A 23295-nucleotide genomic window follows, 5' to 3' on the forward strand; every position below is an offset into this window, starting at 1 on the left:
CCATAGAATTATATTCTAATCAACCAAGCGAAGCTGTGGGAACATAAATGACATCATGACATTGAAAGTGACTTTTTAAAGCTGACCATAAAATTCCATTATCAGTGATTAGCTAACTTAGTCCTTCACACACACACACACACACACACACACACACACACACACACACACACACACACACTGAAGAATTAGATGACATCAACTGAAGCCTGCCTTCAAGGTTAGATAGTGGGGCCTATGATTCTGTTGCAGGCTTCAGCGCTGGGTTTATTTCCTAGTGCCTCCTCTCCAGCCACACCTTAGCACAGTGTTTCACTCATTTTCAGCGTAAATCTTGGGAGTAAAAAAACCTCCTCCCAACAAGGTTACCAGCCAAAGTCTCCTACAGCTCTGAAGATACCTATGATGAAGGGTTGTGTTGTGATGAAAATAATTGCTTTAGTTAGCCATTAAACAGCCTTCAGGGTCAACATGACGATGGGTTCCTTTCCATGTTTGATTTAGTAGAAGCAGTTAATGGTTTTGTTTTTATTATCTTTACCCCCTGCTTCAGAATTATTTACTTAGCACATGGAAGGCAACAGATATTTGTTATTATAAAATCAATTTCATGCCTGACTAGACCATCTCTTCCACCTTTGTCATTACTCTTTGAGCTTTGGGTGTTATCATGGGTTCATTTATGTTTATACAACTAGATGGCAATGGGCCCTACCAATAATTATTTGGGGAATTTGAGTCATACAGCAACCGGCAGTGCATTTTCATTCTCATTTTCAGAGAATTTCCATGTATTCATTTTTTCCCCATTTCTATAGAAATTTCTAATCACAATAGAACAATGTTTCCAAAGTCATGGTATCACAACATACTTTCTCCAGTTACCTACATGATATTAAGAATGAATTATGTATCTAGGGTAAAAATGCAATATGAAAAAGTAGTAAAACACACATCCATAAGCTATCATTTTGGTTTAAAGCATTCTTCTTTGAAATCTTTGTTTCCTCAAGTTGTGTTCCTTTGTTTTTCACAGCTTTTATGCAAGGCTCAAGGTGACAATAAAGACTTTTCTGAAATGTCAGTAGCTGTGAAATTAAATAATCCAAATGCCAGTACCATTCTTCTTCTCTCTGTCTCTCTTTTTTTTTTTTTTTGGTGGTGGTGGTTCTGAATTAATTTCCAAAGCTTACATAAAATTCTGTGTGCAAAGCCTCTCCATGCCTGTTAAGCACAGCCTGGGTGTAGAGTTGTGGGTATGGGGCAGGAGTTAGTCGGCCTGGTTCCATTAGGACTTGCCCTCTGTTCCCATCATGCCTTGCCTCTCCCATATGCCTTACCATTCCCATCATGCCTTGCCATTCCCAGCATGCCTTGCCATTCCCAGCATGCCTTGATAGCCTCTGACTGCCCTTTGTTGCTGGTGTGGAGGTTTTGCCAGTCAGTGCAGTTTCACTAGGAGTCAGAAGTAAATTTACTATCCCGCTTGTCTAAGCAGCCCACCATTTTTCCACTGAGGCAGGATTCCTGCCTTGTTCCTCCCTCCAGCCCTGTCTTCTGTTCTGTGGAACTGGACCCAAGACATTACCCTGACTGATACCCAACAGACCAGTTATCTGGAGCATAATGCCATTCTCTGATGCCATCACCTAATCTTTCCTTTTGACTTTGACCTTCAATACCCTGCAAACATTTTTTGAGCAAGTCCCCAAACCTGACTGGGAGCACTAGCTCAGGTTCTTATTGGCTGTGTGATGCTCAGCAAGTTGGACAAATTCTGAAACTCAGTTTCTTTATTTTGGAAAGAGGACCAGTATAAATAGTCACCTGTATGTAGCTCACAATTGTTCTAAAGATTCAATACAGTAAAGCATGTGAAAGTATCTTGCACATATTGCTATACAGGTTAACTATTTTATTTCATTGGATTTCTGTTGAAATATAAGCTCTATAATCTTTATTAGCTAATCTCTCCTAGAGAATTCTTTGCTGGTGTTGTAGTTTAATGTTTGGCATAGGTTATGTGGAAGATTCTTAGACTTTTAAGTGTGCCAGAATCATCTGGGGTGATTTATAGAGATGGGTCCATGCCCACAGATTCTGGCTTTAGGTTTACCATAAGGCTCAGGAACCTGCATTTTGAAAAGCACCATGTATTAGTTTGCTTTGGCCACGCTACCAAGATACTGCAAGCTGGTGACTTAAACAACAGTCTTGCAGTTCTGGAGGCTAGAACTCCCTTCATGCTCTTGTTGGATAAATACTGCCAAGAGAGTAGATTTACTCACTATTCAGTTCTCTGTCCATGAAATCCTCACAACTGGAAAGAATGAAATGTTTATGCACAGGCCCAGTCCTGCTTCAGCCTGGGACAGATTCCACCACTCTTGCCAAAGTCCCTGTTTGGACATATTCAAAAATAAGTTGTTTTCTTTCTGGGATGCCCTTCCTGTATCTTGCTAAATATACTTTCTCCATATTTCAAGTTCCATCCAAGTCCATGTACCCAGTGAAGGATTCCTTGAATAGCACAGTCTTCATGGATCTAGCTTACCTGTGACGTTATGGTTGAATTTTACCCTCTGTCTTTGTCTTGTGTCATTTACTGTATTATAAATTGGTTGCAACCAGAGATTATGTGTTATGTTCTGGTATTTCTCACCACTTCTATTATAATGTGGAGACCTAGCAGGTGTACAGTCGATACCACTGTCTTATTTAAGAGCTATATGAAGGCAGAGACAAAGATTAGAGCTTCTGTGCTACTAAGTAAGAATTTTTGAAAAATACAAGTCAATTTCTTTATTTATTCAGAAAGGTGATAGATTTTCCAAATATCCTTGTCAAAGGTTGATAGTTGAGGATATTGTACTAATTACATGGAATATATGCATTCATTAAAATTATAACTATGATGATTATATATCAACATGAAAATGTCACAAATTCTTTTTTAATTTTTAAGTGAGTAAAACATCATAAAATTATATTTATACTACAATTACCGCTATGAAAAAGCATGAATAAAGGCTGGGAGAGAACACAGATATGAAAATAGTTATATTTGGGTGATAGGCTAATGAACAAATTATTTTCTATTTTTAATACTACAGTACTGCTTTCATGAAAATCATGGGAAACATAACAGTGACAGACAGTTTGGATTGTTGTCAGCTATGGGAAAAATATTCAGTTTTTGGGAATGGAAAATGACATGAGCTATACAGAGATTTCAGCAGTCTTCAGTGCATGAGCTAATTCTGACAGCATTGTGCATTAAGTTTTAGCTTAACTAATAATGAGGACTCCGTTAATACAGGAGGTATTTTAAAGACATGGCTGACATGGCTAACCTGTCTTAGGAGAGCCATCTTGGAAACTTGCTATTTATCTATACTTATTGTAAGGTCGATATTTCAATTTCCTCCCAGGAGTAGAACTGCCAGTAGGATATCTGAAATTCAAGACCTATGACAATCAATACCTTAAACTTCTTGTACTCAAAATCCACATACAAGCGCTTTTTGGGACTGTCTTGCATTTTGTTTGTGTGGCAAGAAACAGTTTCTGGTCTTTGAATCATCATGTCCTTTTCCAGCATAATATCCTGTGGGGTTTTCATCAGGGAAGAAAGGCAGCACACCGGAGTAAGATTTTGCTATGATTATCTCATCATCTCTTTTCATTTGCAGTGCCACTGGCAAAACTCTTTTTTAAAGAAGGGTTCAGCAAAATGATTGGCACTCGGTAAGTGGCTGATATTGAATAGGAAAAGCCAAGAGCTAATTTGAAGTCTTTATATAATGTTCTTTGTTTAAAAAATTGAAGAGAAAAAATCCAAAATTAGAAGACTAAGAACTAGAGCAGTCTTGCACCATACTGTTTTAATTGGCTGTTGCTCATGAGAAGAATCAATAATTTCTTTTGAAGTTTCGCATCAACTGCTTAATTTTGATCAAGTCTTATAATTAATCAGGTGTGAATAAAATGAATCAGCTATAATTTTAACCATGTTTTCTTAAAAAATAACTACAATGATATAAGTAATGGGTTATCTAACCTTATTCAAGGTTTTATAAATGATTTGAGCAGTATTTTAGAGGAACTACAACTTATCAATTAACTCATGAGTTTTGGCAATCACATTTTCAATATCTTTTAAGAACAAATTTATTGAAATGTTAATGTAATTTTGTGTTCTTCAGGTATTATACCTGTTTTATTTTAACCATCAAGTAGTAATATAATTCCTGCTGAATTTCCAACACTGTGTCAGCCCTCATGGAGGCAGAACAATGAGTGAACAATGAGCAGCCCAGGTTACGGACTTCATCCTCAAAGATCTTATAATATAAATGGAGGAACAGATAATACATTAAACCATCAGAGAGTAATTGACTTTCAATGTATCATTTTAATTGTATATAAATAAAGTAATTTCAGAAAAGGAAGAAAGCTTGAATAGCCAAAGTTCACACAGATGGTGAATGTCACAAACAGAAGTCAAATCCAGGCAATCAGAACCCAGAGTTTTTTCCTTTAATCATTATGCTAATGCTGTCTCTCCACATACTTACATTAATGATTACATTGAATTTGTTTACTCATATATTTATTGAACACATACTATACGCTGGGTACGGTGTATATTTTGGTAAACAAGGTATATATGGTCTCTAGCATTGTGGAGTTTATAGTTGAGGACTAGGAGAATATAGACGTTAAACAAATAGCTATATAAATTATAAGTGATACGAAGGAGCAAGTTTCAGAGTGTTAGAAGCACTCAACAGGAACATCTAATCTTGTCTCGAGAGGCTAGAAAAAGGTTGATTGCAGAAAGAAAACTGCCAAATTAAGAACTAAGAGCTGAGTAGAATTTATCTAGACCCCAACCATGGCCATTCTTATTAAAGAATCCTGCTGCTTCTGTTAGCTGCTCATCTACTTTCTTACCTGCTCTATTTCCCTTTCTTCTTTCTTACCTTCTTTATCTCAGAACTGCTCTTTTGTCTTTTGCACATCACATAAAAGAGTAGTCATTAGCATTCAGTCAACCTGCTTCTTTAATTCTGTATTGGGAGTAATTTGGCAATGTTTGGAGATTCTGAATTGCACCTATAGTTTGGTGTTCAGAGGTTTCTTCTCAGTGTCACCTCATAAAACTATATTTTTTGCTACTTTAATTTTATCTTTTAAGATTGTTAATATTTTTACAAGATATCTAATCATTTTGTATAAAAAATGGCAAGGGACTACAACTCCCTAAAGCGTTTGAATTTTTGCTCCTGTGGCTTCAACTGTATGTGGACATAGCTTCTGGGTTTGTCAGCCCTTTGCCTTGGTGTCCTCAATCAGTAGCTTGGCAACATATTACACTGGCAGGTTCTTATTGTCTGTCAACATAAAGCTTGCTTTGTGTACAGTATTAGCTCCTGGATGGTTCTGCAAAAGCGATGTGTCACTGAAATTTTCTTTTTTGACAAGTCTCTTACCTGGTGGTTAATAGCTGCGATGAAATATTTTTTCTTCAAGAAATGAGCCATTTCTTCTTGGCCATATGTTCTAGTCTTTGATGATATATTTGCCAAAAAATTGCCAATGAAACCTTCTTTTTTTCTGTCCATTAAAAAAAAATCTACCATTTCTCCATTCTACGTTTATTATTTCTATCAGCAAAGTGATATGTAACTGCAGCCTCTCAGGTATTATACTGTAAACCAATTGAGTGATTGCCTTCAATGTGAGGGACCCAGTGTAGAGAAAGAAGAGGTGACAAATTCAGGATGTATTCCATTCAGCAATAAATGAAATAGAAAAGTAGATTTTTTTCTAAATTGTTTGAACAATCAGAGAGTTCAGACTCCCCGAAGAGAGTATATATTTTGTAATCAATATAAAATGAGTTATGTTTTTGTCCCTCTTGAGCTACATAACACAAAACCTGCTGGATGTATTTACAGTTGCAGAGAAATCTAGAAGATAGGTCTAGTGTAGTCTGTCTTAAAAGAGCTTTGTGGCCTGTGCAAAATTCATGAAGATGTACCTCAACATGATAGCCATTTTCTGGCACAACAGTTAATATTGCAACAGAATAAGAGAAGTACATGTGACAGAGAGACAAACCACACATACAAAGACACCATATCTTTGTAAAACAAATGCTAATTTCAATGTAAGATTCAAGTCAAAGTAACAACAGGGGCTGTGAATTGTAGATACTGGTTTTTCGTATCCTGCTTCTCTTAAGGGCAGCTCTTTTTAGCATACTCCCATGCAGCAACAGAAATTTGTATCTTTTTTTTCTTTTTTGAGATGGAGTCTCGCTCTATCACTAGGCTGGAGTGCAGTGGCACAATCTCGGCTCACTGCAACCTCTGCCTCCTGGTTCAAGCGATTCTCCTGCCCTAGCCTCCTGAGTACCTGGGACTACAGGTGCGCGCCACCACACCCAGCTAATTTTTATATTTTTAGTAGAGACGGGGTTTTACCATGTTGGCCAGGATGGTCTTGATCTCTTGACCTCGTGATCTGCCCACCTCAGCCTCCCAAAGTGCTGTGATTACAGGCGTGAGCCACCGCGCCTAGCCCAGAAATTTTTATCTTTAAGAATAGTTGATTGCTTTGAGCTCTGTAAAGAAAATCAGCCAGTTTCTCATAAATGTGAGTATTGTTAACAAGAAAACTAGAAACAACTGTGCATGCTTTTTTTGGTATCAACAAAATAGGTAAAATTGCAGTAAGAATGATTCAGACAACTGTGAGGAGAAAGACTAGTAGTACAGGTAATGCCTCTCTAGCACTACAATAGAATATTGAGGGCTATTGTGGGATTTTTGTCCTAATGGCTTTAAAAATAGCCATACTGTCACCAGTCTGAAGTGGTTAACTTGCCTGCATTCAGAAGTATTTACTAGACATCTTGAAATTACTGGAAATGTTTTTGCACTGGGACTTGAATTATCGTTCTGGTTCTAGTACTAATTTGTTCTATGGTCATAGGCATATTTCCAAAAAGAGAAAATGAAGGAGTTATGTTGGATACTCTTTGAGGTTACTTAGAGCTGTGAATTCTTTCAGACTTCCCTCATGAAACATTAGGTAACCGCAGTCTTCATATTTTGCACGACTGTCTGTCATCCTCATGGCAAGATTACTTGTAGTCAATGCTACAGGAAAAGCTCAAGAGATCTGTAATAAGAATTTTTCAGTGGGTCCACTTGGTGACATAGCTGGACTTAAGAGCACTGGTCATGATAATACTTATGTAAAGTTCTGTACTTATGTGAATTCTCTGAATTTTATAAGTCCTGTTGATAGGTTAACTTCTGTTGTATTTTAATCTTCTGATTCTTCTCAGTAACTATTCTAAACTTTTCAAAATGCCTTCACATCTAATGTACCTTCTTTGGTCTGCAAAATAAGCCTGGGAAGAGGGTACGTCATGAGTCCTCTCCCTCAGCCCAGTCATGCAAAGATGTGAGAATGTTGGAATGGAGGTGGAAGAAGGGGGTGACTCTTCTGGAGTCGGTATCCCATGAAAGAGAGAGAAGTCAGTAGCCAGGAAGTCTGGTCAAAGTCAGTGGCTGGGAGGAGTCCAGCTAGATGTGCATTGGCAGAAGCATGACCTTTCACCAGGTGAAGGTCAACATCCAAGGGGTGAAGGAATAGTGAAGTAGGTGCGGAGCAGACAAGATGTTTCAGGAGACACATCCATGTGTATTGAATTCCCATGCAGAGTAGAGGAAGAGCTGGGTATACTCAGTAACCAATGAGGAACGTATGTGGGTCAGTGGGGTAAATGGCCTTACCCAAAGTTGTTCTGTCCTCATGCCATGGGATGCCAGGAATTAAACCTACATCTTTGGCGTACAATATCTCATTAAAATATTTAGTTTATTCTATTTCTAAATACAATATTTAGTTTCTTCTCCACCCTCTCATTGTCAGGATTAGGGTACTCCAAGTATGTTGAATAATATGTAAGTTCTTAGGTAGAATTTTTACACTGTCTCATGATGCAGTAACCTGAAAGCAAATTTGTGAAACAATATCCTGGTCAGGAGGTGTATCATGAAAACCCGAGGCTGCATATTTCCTCAGTAAGGTTGCTTTCCTTGCAAGCAGAGTTTTAGAATTCAGGGTTTACTCAAAGGGCTGTTGTGATCATGAATTTTTAAAATCAGTTATTGTTTAATGTAAAATAGCAAATAAGGAATACAAGCCTGGTTACCTAAGAGCAACATTGTTAGCTGGAAAACCCATTCACTCTACAGCTGTCCCCAGTTCCAAAAGTCCCTGATGAGTAACCTGGCTGACATCTCTTGAATATCTCTCCCTCACTGTACTCCAAGCATCTGCTATCCCAGACTCAATGTTTGTTTCTGTCATTTCAGATACGTTGATGATGGTGATGCAGAGTGTTTATTTTTCTTTGCAGAAAAATGCAAGCAAATGTTTGATCTATAAGTTCATTTATTTGTATATTTGTTTCATTATTACCTTTCCCCTTCTAAGTAATAAAGTATTCTTTATCATCCACCTGGATTAAATCATTGTTGTTCTTGCTTAGTAACTCTACAAGCTGCTAAGTAAGTCCTTTCCAGTTCTCCATCCCAGCAAAAGCTGTTATTTATGACTGCAAAGATTATTTTCATGCTAATGAGGTTGTTTCCTCATTTTTGAAAATGTTTATCATGTAATATTTGAACATATAAACTGTATGTAACATCATCCTAACAGGAACACCTGTGAATCCCCCCTTCCATTAGGAACTGGAACAATTCTGTTGCATCTGTCTTGTCCTCCTCCTCTACTTCATCTCTGTGCACCCCTACCCCTAGAGGGAATAGTGTCCTAAATTGCCTTTTAATATATAGTTTTGTCACCTACACCTGAATGACCAAATAATATACCATTTAGTTTCACTAATTTTGTAATCTCAAAATAGATATGTGTATGTGTATAATTATCTATAATTTGCTTTTTTCCAACAAAATTATGTTTCTAAGGCATTTCTGTTACTCCTCCTTATGGGACAGTGCTTTTAAAAGTTTAATGTGCATACAGATCACCTTGGGAGCTTGTTAAAACATGGATTCTGACGCAGTTCGTCCATAGCGGGACCTGAGGTTCTGTATTTCCAGCAGGCTCCAGGTTTTGCTCATGCTCTGGCTTGCGGGTCACCCTTTGACTAGCAAGGTTATAGAGGGTACAGATGGTTCACAATGAATAAGTGTTGTCTTACTCTAAAATTGATAGTTTGCTTATTAAATGCCAGCATACCTTCCTGAAAACGTACATTTTTGTTCCATTTGTTTCTTTCCCCAAATCTTAACAGAAAGATGGAGATTCCGAAAAGAATTGTGGGACCAGCTTCCTTTGACCCAAGCACAATGATGAGCAATGCTTTTATCTAAAAGCCGTGAGGTGATAGGGAACCAAATTTTTCCCCATTGATGTTTTGGTTGTGTATGAGTCAGGGTTCTCTAGAGGCACAGACCTAATAGGATAGATGTATATATGAAGGGGAGTTTATTAAGGAGTATTGACTCACACAATCACAGGTGAGGTCCCACAATAGGCTGTCTGCAAGCTGAGGAGCGAAGAAGCCAGTCCAAGTCCCAAAACCTCAAAAGTAGGGAAGCCGACAATGCAGCCTTCAGTCTGTGGCCAAAGGTCCAAGAGTCCCAAAGCTGAATAACTTGGAGTCTGATGATGTTCAAGGGCAGGAAGCATCCAGCATGGGAGAAAGATATAGGCCAGAGGTCTAAGTCAGTCTAGTCTTTCCATGTTCTTCTGCCTGCTTTTATTCTGGCTGTGCTGGAAGCCGATTAGGTTGTGCCCACTCAGATTGAGGGTGGGTCTGCCTTTCCCTGTCCACTGAATCAAATGTTAGTCTCCTTTGGCAACACCTCACAGACACACCCAGGAACAGTACTTTGCATCCTTCAATCCAGTCAAGTTAACACTTAATATTAACCATCACAGGTTGGATGCTTTTTTTCTAAGGTTTTTGTAAAGAGGATACTGGTCTGCTTGCTTGCTTGCTTGCTTGCTTGCTTGCTTGCTTGCTTTTCTCTCCTTCTTTCTTCTTTCTTTCTTTCTTTTTTTGAAAACAGATTTTCAGGAAATGAGAATGTACATTGGCTATGCATATATTAATATCTTAGGGCTTTAAGATTGAATGCATATTTGCTTTCTTTCTTTCTTTCTTTCTTTCTTTCTTTCTTTCTTTCTTTCTTTCTTTCTTTCTTTCTTTCTTGAAAACTGAGATTTTCAGGAAATGAGAATGTGCGTTGGCTGTGCATATATTAATATCTTAGGGCTTTAAGATTGAATGCATATTTTTACTTATTAGTCTTGCACTTCATCGCTTCATGATCTTTGGCTTTGGTAAGGTCTTGACAGTGTAAGATAATCAACCGGTAAAAAAAGAACAGGAGGCCGTGTGACAGAACTTCAAGCACCTCTTCAGTGTGATTCAGCTGAAAGATCTACAACTCTGACATGTTGATGATTTATCATCCTTGTGCTCCCCAGCACATAAATTTCAAGGAGCAGCTGACACTTCTGATCATCTTAAAGATATACTATTTAGCAATAATTTAACTTCCAGAGAGACTAAAAGATACTTTTATTTAGTGCTATTTATTCTACTTCTAAATTCACGATACTAAGTTATGAAACTATAATCACCTTACATTTTAAGAACAGCCATTTAGCCATTGAGAGGATGGAAAATATGGTCACATATGTGATTTAATAAAGCTGTACAGAATAGGGAATTGGGCTCTTAGATTCTAATAGTTATCTGCCTTAGTGAGAGAAATTGGTGTTCTGAGGAATAAGTCATGAATTAGTTCACACAATATTTACCGTTACTCTAATGATGAATTTGGTAGGCGTGCTGTGGACTGGAGAGTCTTTCTGGCCTGTTTGGAGATATAAGAGGCGAAGTTTAACTTAAAGGACAAGGTATCTTTCGATTGCAAGGAAGAGAAACTTATCTCAAATTGGTTTAAGCAAAAAGGGGAATTTCTGTGCTCGCATAACTGGCAAGTCTTATGGTTCTCTAGCTTCAAGCATGGATAGATCCAGGGGCTTAATCAAGTTATCAGATTGATATCTATCTCTCTTCCTTCTGCCTCCCTTCCTCTCTCTTTTCCTCTCTCTCTCCCTCTTTCCCTCTCTCTCTCCCCCACTTTCCCTCCTTCCCTCCCTCCCTCCTTTTCTCTTTCTCTCCTGCCTGCCCTTCTCTTCCTCTTTCTCTCCCTCTTTCCCTCCCTCCCTCCCTTTCTCTCTTTCTTCTTCCTGCCTCTCTTTCTCTTCCTCTCTTTTTCTCTTTCCCTCACTTCCTCCTCTCTCTTTCTCAGTTCTGTTTTCCTTGGTGTTGGCTTCATTCTTCCCAGTCATTGTCCAGGTTGGCAACCTGAAGCTTGAGGCTGACATTGTCTGACAAGTGGCAATCTCAGAGAACAGAGTGAGGCTCTTTCTGTGTAGCTTAGGCAGTTCGTTCTCCCCTTCTGCTTTATTTTAGCTTCTCCTTCTTTTTCTGCTTTAACGATTTGATTCTTAATCATTTAGCCCTGAAATCCCTCCTGTTTCCTTCCTGAGTTACCCCTCTTTCTCTATAGACCTACATGCAGTCTTTGAAAGCTCTGGATGTGTGTGTGGAGGGAGGGGGTTTATTTAAAATTTTATCGTGTAATGTTTAACATCCTGTAAAAATGTTCATAATACATTAATACAAAAGCAGATCTCCAGTAGCTGTAGACTATGGCATCCTTCAAAACACAGATGAATAGAATCTGTAGGTCTATAGGCATGAAGACATACAGATAACAACAAGATATGCAGTAGGATATTCTCCACAGAGTTAACAGTGGTTGTGGCTAGGAAAGCATTAATTTCAAAAATTTAGCTTAGTGTACTTAAGTCTTTACTTTGGGCAGTTTGTATTACCCAGAAATGGCACCTTCACTCTCCTGATGGGAGATATGCTTGTCTGTGCTTGGCTCTGTTACCCTGGGAGTTGATTTGAGAGGAAGACTGGGGGTTTTAACACTGGATATGTGGACTTTTGTCTAATGCTCCTGTTTTCAGAATGGTACAGACACTTACCCTTAATTATACCTTATTAAGGTATAATTAATAATTATGCCTTAGGTGAGGTGGTGTGTATATGTATGTGTGCATGTGTGTGTGCCTGAGTGTGCATGCGTGTGAGTGTGTGTGCGTGTGTGTGTGTGTCCAGGCTGTGCTGAGCAAAGCAGCAAAGCACATCTGGGAGAGAAACAGAACACCCAGCACCCATGGCAGCAATGCCAGGGCACAGCCTCTCCTCTGGAGGTCCTTGGAAGACAAGAAGATCTTTGTCACCAAGGCACAATGTAGTAGAAGTTGACTCCAGCAGCCACAGTCCCTAATTCTCAATGTTTTTTCATAAAAGTAAATCGGATGAGCCTCTATATAACATCTCAGACATCCCTGTTGAATTCATAATTAAAAATCTAAATGAATTATTTTTTATTAAGGTATACTTTCAAATGCTTAATATCCATGAGATAACTCTGATTTACTTCAAGGAGTCTTAACCATAAAAATATATAGAAAAATCTTATATAATGCCTTAAAATATTTTAATATTTGGCAATTTTAAGATCCTTAAGGAGCTTTAGCTTTTTAGAGCTATTTTAAGATATTTAAAGAACATTATCCACATATAGCTCAATATAAGTCATTACTTACTATCAAGGCACGTGTGGAAAGTAGTTATAGTGAACATTTTAAAATGGAATAATACCTAACATAAAATTTAAAGTAACATTGGTGATTTATTTAATTTTTCTTTTCATGGAATTTATGGCTTAATGCTGAACATAATTACAATATTTTTTATCCCCAGTTCATACAGAGATGAATATTTCTACTCTAGTTAATTCTTCATTCTTCTTGCTATTAACTTAGTATGTTAGTAATTGTCATAAAATGGAAATAGCTAATAAGCATTGGGTGTTGTATTAGTCTTCCTTCTTAGCTTCTGTTTCTCCCATCTCCTTCTTTTTATTCTTTAATTCTTTACTTTTTTAATGAAAAAAATCATAGCAACTAACATTTAGTTGCTATGTGCTAGGCTCTCTGCTAAATGCTTTGCATATCCTAGATTATTTAATTCTCACAGTGATCCTGTGGGGATTGATGGTTATCTCCATTTTGCAGATGTGGAGGCTGAAGCTTCAAAGTTTAATTAGCAAGTTTGAAGCTTTGTATGCTGTATAGCAGTGAGTCTCAAAATGTAGTTCCTAGACCAGAAGTCTCAACTTCATTTGGGAACTTGTTAGAAGTGCAAATTGTTGGGACTCACTGCAGATTTACTGATTCAGAAACTTAGAAGGTGAGGCCTGGAAATCTGTTGTAATAAGCCCTAAGGGTGATTTTGATCTACACATAAGTTTGAGAGTCACTGATGTAATCCCTCTCTGAACCTGATCTGAAAATTGTTCTATATTGTTGGCTTTTCCATTTATTATAAATATACACATATGAATTTGTTATTGTAATTTATATTACATTTTTTAACCTCTGAACAAATTATTAAAAACTCTTGTGTTTAGATAGATTTCTTATAATATAGTTTATTCTGGTGATGGTTTTTTAAAATTTGTATTTTGGACTAGATTACTCAAAATGTTACCAGCTAGAATCTGAGAATGCTGTAATATATTAGAAAAAATAGGTACTGTGATCAACTAGGGTTACTGTCTGGGAATATAAAGATGGGTATCAGGAAATCTATGAATATAATTTGCTGTATCAACAAATTAAAGGAGAAAAATTCATTACATTCCTTGAAAAAGTGATAAATTTAGCAGCCATTCCCAATAAAAATTCTAAGCAAAATGGAAATAAAAGGAAAATACTTCAGCGTGATAAAGACCATTTACTAATCAGCATGATAAAGACCATTTACTAAAATAATCAGCAAACATCATCTTAAATACTAAAACCCTAAATCATTTTCATTGAAATCTGGATAGAGAAAAAGATGCCTTATTTTGCTCTTATTATTAACAATGTTTTGTAGGTTGAAGTAAATGCAACAAATCAGGAAAATAAAATCATAGATATAAATATAATTAAGGAAATAGTAAAGTCAACTTTTTTTTCCTAAAGAGATTTCTTACATATCTAGAAACCCCAAGAGATGCTGCTAAAAATGGCTAGAATTGATGAGGGAAGTTTATAAAGAGCCTGATTATAAGAGAAATATTCAAGCTTTCTTTATACTATTAATAGTCACTTAGAAATGGAAATAGGAAAAGTATTCCAGTCATAAAAATGGCAAAAAATTTAAAATACTTAGGTTTAATTTTAACAAGAAAGCCACAGAATTTATAGGAATGAAATTATAAAAAATTATTGAAGGATATAAAACAAGACTTAAACAAATAAGAGAACTAATACTCTATTTGTAATATGTAAACTCAATGCCTTTTCATTTAGAAACTCAAGTTATTTTTTGAATTGAATTAAAAAATTCAAGATTAAGAAAAGAGAACACTGGAGAAAAAATAAAATATAAAGAAGAATAAAAAGCCATTTTCTTGCTGGATATCAAAACATACTGTAAAACAACTGTGATGACAACAGTGTTGTGTGGGAATAGAGCAAAGATAGATTGGTAGACTGGAATAAGTACCCTGAAACAGATCTCACTATATATGGAAACAATCCATGATAAAGGTGACATCTTATTTCACTATGAAAAGAATGATTTAGTTAATAAAGAATTGCTCACACAACTGGCAATCAAAATAAATGGTTACCATTATTTTACATATATGCAAAATTAATTTCAAGAGAGTAAAAGATCTAAATTAAAAAATAAAATTCAAGAGGAAGATTAATCATACCTGTATTAACACACAGGTTGTGGAGAGCTTTCTAACCAAAACAGGAAGTCTAGAAGCTATTAAAGAAAACACTTTTGGCCACCTAAAAGTAAAATATTTGAGTATGGCAGATGCTACAAAGACAGTAGACTGGCCATAGCTTGAGAGGATACTTTTGATGTATGTTTTCCAAGGAAGTAGAATCTGAGACTGTGATTCAAGGGCGAAGCTTTATCTGTGAGGTGCAAACCCAGGTTAGCGAGTGTGAGGATTAAAGAAAGAGAAGCAAGAGAACATGACGTGTTACTGCTTCCCAAAAAGACATATAAGATGCAGCAAGTCACTTGGCTGGCATATTTTCTCCCCATATGACCCTTCTCAAATGAGCTGCAAGGAGGACTTATCTTCCGAGAAGTCTATGGGAAGGGAGGGAGGACAGGGAATTTGTCTGCCTAGCTAGCCCCCCTCTGTATCTTGTTTCCTGTTGGTCATTGATTGTCCTATGGGCAGTTAGCTTGCAGAGGGTGTCACTAGAGCTCCTTAATGCTCCCCCTGATGCCAGTTCCCATGTTCCCCATTGCGACGTTTCATGTTAGTCTAGAAGTGGCCCAGAAACTGAGCATGTGGTTGGGCAGTGCAGCATAGCAGGGGCCAAGGGGGATGGCCTGACTCATCCAGGGTTCTTGTCTGGTTGCATCCCTGTGGTGTTAATGGGTTCAATAGGCAGGTAATATGACCAAGGGGATCCAAGGAGAGGCAGGAGATTTGTATTCGGTACAATTGCAGAGATAAAAAGGCCTTTCAAAGAAGTGCAAATCCCAGAAGACACCCTGACAAGGTGAGTGACCACCTCGGTAGATTTAATATTCAGGGCATGTGCCACAATAAGAGGATTGGAGCCAAGAACTGCCCCATGCCTCTGAGGGTTCCTGCTTTTTCTCACATGCATCCTGCTGCCACTGCTCTGGTCAAAGCTACCATGATCTCTTGCCTGCATTAGGAGCAGGCAGCCTTTACATTGGCCTTCCTACCTCTACTCTCTTCCCACTGTCAGTCTATTCCCAGTATAGCAGCCAGAGTAATCTCATTAAAATGGAAGTCACAGCACTTCATTCCTTGGCTCAGAACCCACCTATGGCTTCCCACCTCTTTTAGCGAAAAAGCTAAAGTCCTTAAAATGACCTGTAAAGGTCCACCTGATGCAGCTGGTTGTCACCTCTCTGATTTCGTCTGCTACCACAACCACCATGTGCCTCCTACCTCCAGCCACAACTGACCTCTTCACTGTTCCTCCCACAGGCCAAGCATCCTCTATCCCAGGGCCTTTGCACTTGCTGGTAATGCCCTTCTCTGGGCTATCCATTGCCTTGTTTTCTTGCTTTCATTCTCACCATTTACTCAGAAGCAACCTTTTCTGTGAAGTCTTTCCCGACCACCCTTTAAACATTCTTAAACTCATCCCTGACATTTTATATTCTTTATATCCTGCCCATTTTTTCTTTTATTTTAGCATTTGCTAATATAACATACTGTGTATTTTACTTACTTATTTTTTCTATCTTCTGTCTCTCCCATAGAATGTGGCCCCATCTCTGTGTCATTCAATACGTAATCCTTAGGGCCTCATATAGTCTCTGGCATATAGTAGATGCTCAATAAATATTTGTTAAATGAGTAAATGACCAATGAAACAATAATAAGGCCTGGATTCTGCCAGCCTTGGGCTTGTTTAGTATTGATGACAAGGGTTGGTGGTTGTGTAGAAACAGAGTGAGGCACTCTTGATTTCTCAACATGCCTGGTGCAGTCCATGTTTTGGGAAAGGATAGGAACTGCCATGTTCTTGAATATGGGCTAGGAAACAAGGAAAATCCACGTGCTAGTGTGGAAAGATGAAGAAATCTTATTGGGAATATAAAATGTCTGATTTGGATTTAGCTTGATAATAAGCTTTTGATTTTAATAAAAAACATGGATGATCCTGACAAGTGAATAAGATAAATGCATTTATTTAAAACAATTATTCTCAGAAGATAAAACTCTTTTCGTTTAATAATATGAAGTTATCGAAATATTGTTTTGTGCTGTGATGAAGCTTTCTGTTAATGACTTAAAACTGGAAAAAGAAGTGCTGCTAGCAAAATTAAAACCAAAATGTAATTGATTTGGGAAAGCTTATCTAGGCAGGATTCTATTCCAATGAAATCAATGTAAAATAATGATCTGATTCACCATGCAGGAAGATCCTAATGATTGTTTTTTGGACAAAAAGTACATTCTTGTTCATACCATGGAGTACATATTGAGTACATATGGTTTGTCTCATTTGTCAAACTCGTGTTCCATAGAAAGCTATATTACAAGATGCTAAGAGTTATGTTGTAAGTTTTTTTTTCTGTGATTAAATATGCTTAGAAAACCTTGACTTATGAGATGGTAAATAGCTAAGAGAGGTTTTGAAATATGTTATAATTCCCATATCATGGGATACTTTTTTTGTAAAACATGTGTTAACATGTGTGAGAATGGTGTTCTATGTGAGTGAATTTAGGATACATTTAGCATAAAATGTTAATATGAAGTTTTTAGAAGTTTAGAGTAAATGTGTGTGTGTGTGTGTGTGTGTGTATAAAAGTTTAGAAGGTTTATATTACTTTAAAGTGATAGTTAATTTTGACTTTTCTGATGTTAATTAAGCATCTGTACATGAAAGACCATGATAATCCAGTTATTTTATTTCACAAGGTAGGTTTTGTATTTTAAATTTTATTTCTTTGAGCCGTGGAGTGATTCATCATGGATTTGAGGGGGTGTGTCTGTTCAAATGTTTGTTATTAAAAACAGCCATTTAAATTAAAAGTACTTTATTAAAGCCAAGTGGTATTTTGTTATTCAGGACATTTTGTAATCTATGCAAGGAAATGGATTAATTTTCAAATTCTTAATTTTAGTTACCTTTCTATTAAAAGTATAAAACTATAAATATAGTACTTCAGCTAAATAAACAGTAGGTTGACAAATATTTATTGAGCTTGCTACTGTGCCAGGTACTAATAGGCACTGGGGACTGACAGATAAGAACTCTGTTCCTAATGAGAATTCATTGTAAGGCAGAATTCAGCTTGGTGAATAAATAGCAAGATTATTAGAATAACTTTAGTCTTCTTTCTAGTTATTAAATTGAAAAGAAAACAAGTTTTCTGTTTTATTCCATTTCAAACAATTTCACATTTTACAGTGAAAATTCTAAATAATTTAAAACATTTGTTAGACAAAATGTGCTGAACATGAATTGCTGCTTTTATATGCTGTATTATCAAGTCCTAGTTCTCAAGTCATATATTTAGTTCACAACTAATGGATGATGATTAGTGATGATGAATCCTCTGGTTTCTCTTTAGAAATGAGAGATTGTGGAGATATTAACATATGACACCTCCACCCCCAAATCAATATTTTATTATTGAATAAAATAGTATAGATATTTATGAAGTAATAGTGCCCTGAAAGACAACAATAAAAACTTATAAAATTATTAAACAATAGGGTTGAATTAGGAGCATGACCATCTTTTATTTGATATTTCTTCAGAATAAAATAGGAACTCTACTAATAGTTTTTGAAGGGCAGGGTTAGCTACTGATGATGTTTTGCTCCGATACCTTGAGTTTGCCTGTAATATTATGCCTTTTCTTTTGAAGTTCAGAATAAGGGCCATAAGTGGATTAATCACTTAGTTTGATATATCCAATTACCCATTTGATACTGTTCTTCAGATAGATAGAGAGAGTGCACCATGTTTTCAATACAGTCGTCTTAGATGAACTGACTTCTAGTTGACTCTTATAACAAATTCTCATACGTGTGCATATAGACATATACACATATATGCAGTACACTTGTATGTACATAAACTCACACACAGATAAGACATACACACATATATATACACTCCCCCCTCATGTTTGCCAAGATGGAAGTGTTATTCAGAATCACTAGATTGTTGTTAATTCAGTATTTCATAAGTATTACATATTTTTCCTTTAATAATATTATGAAACCATGATTCTCAGATATTCATGTCACAACCAACTCTTAAGCAGTTTATGATTGAATTGGGTATCACCTCTGGAGCATATTGGTAAGAGAATGAAGTGGAAATTGTCCAGAAAGCACTGTCTTCATGATGCACAAAGGGAGAGGCTGAGATGTCAAGGTGTGCAAACTGATAAGCCACATCATCTCATAGGAAATCCCCCAGATTGAGGATTAGGGTGATAGAGGATGTTAGTTGTCCATGCACTTTTCTTACCTTGGCATTTTCAAGAGTCTCACAGTTGCATGGTGGTGGCAGTATCTTTAAATTGTAATTTAAGATCTATAGATCCATTGTGGCTTAGGGAGCCGATAATAGGACCATTAATGTCTAGAGGAATGACATTACGTTTCTTGGGTTATCAAGCTCAGATGGATTTGGTAAAGCTGTTATTGGCATTTTTTCTTCCTGTCTCTAGGCAAGAAAGGAATAATTCTCTCTTATTACACAGAGAGACTTCTACGCAGAGAATTACTTATACACATTATTTAAGTGTGAATGGTTATTTAGGAAACCGATATTATGGTCACTATTTGTTACCAATACAACATTTAGATTAATTTCAGAGCAATTTCTATATAGGTATCTTGAATACCTTCTGTTGATATTTCAGGCAGTAAGTCTATACACTTATATTCCTAGTGTATGGTATAAAGAAATAATTCAGCATAGCTGAAGTTATTACAACATTATTTCTTGGTTCACCAACAATACCTCAAGTTAAAAGAAGGAAGTTTTTCTTTTTCAGTTTTGCAGTCACACTAGCCACATTTTAGGTGCTCCATAACCACATGTGGCCAGTGGCTCCTGCTTGGGGGAATGCAAACCCAGGATGTTCCCCACATTGTAGAAGATTCCACTGGACAGCACTCATTTTCTCATTCCAGAGGAGGAGTTAACTTAAATAGAACAATATAGGTTGGTGAAGGAATTTGTGAAATAGTATTCATATTAGAGTTTTGTGTAAAAAGGCCATGATTATAAGTTTATATGCTTATATAAAAAAGACTAAACCAGGCTGTTTTTATTATCTTTGACCATTTGTAGGGTAACTTAACTATTTAGATTCTTTTAAAATATGCTGATATTTTATACTGAATATTTTAGGTAATAAAAACGTGGATCTTGGTAATGAACATGGGTTTTTTTCTGAATGAGGAGAGTGTATTTATATAAATGTGATATAGAATGAACGCATGTGATGGAAACCCTGCCTAATCCTTAATAGCATTGCTATAATTCTCTATAATTTAAAATTTCCTTCCTTAGTTTTGTAAATAGAATTAGTTATGTTAAAGGAGTCATAGCAAGAAACAAAACCACTGGATTTTTATAGTCAGGTTTTAAAAAATAGTATGTGGTTAAGACTAGGGCCATGGTAACAATTACAAGAGGATGATCAACGAATGGGCTTTACTTCGCAGCTGTTTCACCAGATGGCCATGGCTAGGTATTTTGTACCTTTTAAACAGGATACATATAATAGAATGAAAATGATTCCATTGAAACCTTACAGATTTGCTGATAATAATACCTCCATGTTTTCCTTTTTTAGTTTTCAACAGAGATAATATTTATTATATAATAGGTTATGCTCACCTCTTACATTTTTAAAGAAACATTTTAAATATCAGAATAGAGAAGTGTTTCTTGTTGTTTTTTTTCCAAGTGTCATTGTGATTTAGAAGCAGTTGCTGAGGAGAAGCCATGTTAACATAACAACAGTTGATGCAATTGCAAATCTTTCTGTTTAAATAAAGATTTCTGTTTTTAAGGGCTGAGGGTTCTCCCCACTGAGCAATCCTGGCTTCAGTACAGATGTTGAGCTCTCTTTAAAAAATAGTGCTGAGCGCGATCCAGGTGTTTCCCCATTGCCCAGCACTTTGATTAACCTTTTATGAAGTATCTGCCCACAAAAATCTGGATTAGTATGCTCCCGTGTGTCTTATTAAAAGCCTGCCAGGCTTTATTGAACACTGTGTTTATACTTTCTGTTCTCTGGACAGTTTTGGTGTCTGGTAAGTATCAAATGGAAAGCATCAGCATACACTACGTTAACAAGGATGTCTGATGTTAGCTGCTGACTTGAGTTTGGAACAGGAAACATCAAGGTTTGATGCGCTGATTGTCAGGGAAGAATGACTGTGGTTACACACATAGGAGGGGCATTGGTTTCCCATACACAAATGCTTAATGGAGGGCCTACTTTGCTTCGTTGGGAGACATGTGAATAGAATTTTCTGCTATTATCAAATCTTTGAGATAGGGTTTCCAAGTGTGTGCCCATTGTCTAGTCTAGTCCTGGGCCCTCAGTACAGGAGCCACTAGCCATATATACTATTTACATTTAAATAAAAATTAAACAAAAATTAAAATTCAGTTTTGCATTCGCACTAGCCACATTTCAAGTGCTCCACGTGTGTCTGGTGGCTCCTGCATTGGGAAATGAAAACCTGGGACATTCTCCCAATTGCAGAAAATTCTACTGGACAGCACTGTCCTGAATTTTAAATACCAGACTGACCTATACACTACAGAGTTTCTATTTATACTCTACACTTGTAAAAGGATTTCTCCAATGAGCTTGTGGATTCCTTTAAATTTACAGTATTAATATCAAAAGTATCAGCTCCTCCCTAGAGGAGCAATCAGCTCCCATTACTTCTAGCTTAACATTGAATCTTTGGGTGAGAGATTAGACTTTGATTTCAGAATGGGTTCTTGGCATAGCTAATGTTTTTTAAATACCTGGGTAAATCACAGGAATAGACTCTTGGGAAAGTGATGGTGGTCTGTAGATTGTGAACTACAGAACAACGGTGAGAAAAGCTGGCACAAAATTCCTAGTGTTTAGAAAACGCTAACATTTTTCCAGGCTATTTGTTTTAGTATTTTATAAAATTAACAAAATAATTTACTATTTATATAGCTGTTAAGATGACTTTAAATGGATGAGATCCTGATTATGTTACCCTGATATTCATTTTTCTACCCACATTGAATGAATGGGTTCAGGCATTTTTAAATTTCCCAAGTTATATCTCTTTTATAATAAGAAAATGTCTTTTAAACCTTTATAGTTTCATTCGAATGTTTTACCAGGAACATTTCCACCAATTTTGCTATATCGTCCCTTCTCTTTATTCTAAATTGATAATACTTTAATTTATTAACACAGTTCCTTGGATACCAACATTTCTTGCCTAGTTTATAGCTTTCACCCACAAACTAGTTTTGTGGTCTCTAGTTTGTCTCCTCTCTGGTCTATTCTCAATACTGCTCCTAACTTTATCTTGCTAAAATGCATGTTTGATCATGTCCCAAACCAATTAAAACCCTTCTGTTAGATTCCCATGGCTTGCTATATTACAGACTCTTTAGCATTTTTTTCAATGGCCTATCACATTGGGTCCCTAGTTACTATATTTCAAACTAACTGTTTTTTACTGTTTTAAACTATATTTCAAACTATTTTTTTTCCTATTTATCTGAAGTATTTCTAATAAATACATAAGTCTTTATAATGAACTTTTCCCTTTCTGCACAGGTTTCTAGTTTCTCCCCTATCTACTAGTTTTCCACAATGACCATTTTACTTTACTGTGCACATTGAGGTGGTTTTCTTTCCTCCTTTCTATTTCTACATTTTCACTTATTTTCTTTCTCTGCCACTCTTCTCAGGGAAAGAAATATTGCTTCTCCTATCAAAGTAATTAAACCAAAGCGGAACTCTTAATCCATCTTTTAAAACCTGCAGTGGTTTCCCTGTAGCGTGTAGGTTAAAGTGAAAAAGCTCTTTGGTGTTCCAGGAACAGCAGGGTTCCTCCCAAATCACTTTGCCAGCGTTAGTTCTCACACTGTTCCTTCCCTGAGTGGTCCCTGCAAATGGAATCATTCTCTGTGCCCTTGTTTTGCTTACTCCCTACCTTGCCCAATAATCTTTTTTCTAAGTATAGTTCTCCTCTCCCTCATTTGTAATCATTTTTGAGCTTCCAGACAAAAGATGTGTCCCAGATGAAGGCATTTGTGATTTCCCCAGTATGCAATGCCCATGTCCTCATCTGCACTCCTATAAAATTTTATTATCACTTCTACTGGCATTCATAAGCTCGCATACTCATAGAGGAGCTTCTTGGTAACAATTTACTGCTAATTCAGCTTCTCTTATTCCCTACAATGCCTAGCACACAATCTTGCATATAGTACATGCACCAAAAAATGCATCTTGAATGAATGAATGAGTGGAATAACTTATTTCCAAGCCTGAACACTTTATTAAAAACTATTTACAAAACTATATTTATT

General features: G+C 36.6%; 1 protein-coding gene across 1 annotated transcript in view, besides 1 other annotated feature; it reads left to right on the forward strand.

The window, feature by feature from the left end:
* The window catches only part of HS6ST3 (heparan sulfate 6-O-sulfotransferase 3), a 749456-nt gene that overhangs the window by 184607 nt on the left and 541554 nt on the right, over nt 1–23295 (forward strand). The window lies entirely within an intron of this gene.
* Nucleotides 20283–21217: an enhancer, noted in NCBI's record as "OCT4-NANOG hESC enhancer chr13:96947250-96948184 (GRCh37/hg19 assembly coordinates)". NCBI's record gives its function as "activates a minimal SCP1, AML or CMV promoter by ChIP-STARR-seq in naive H9 embryonic stem cells {active_cell/tissue: H9 hESC(naive)}" and the evidence as "EXISTENCE:reporter gene assay evidence [ECO:0000049][PMID:30033119]".

The sequence above is a fragment of the Homo sapiens genome, chromosome 13 (genome assembly GCF_000001405.40).
Source record: "Homo sapiens chromosome 13, GRCh38.p14 Primary Assembly".
NCBI lineage: Eukaryota > Metazoa > Chordata > Mammalia > Primates > Hominidae > Homo > Homo sapiens.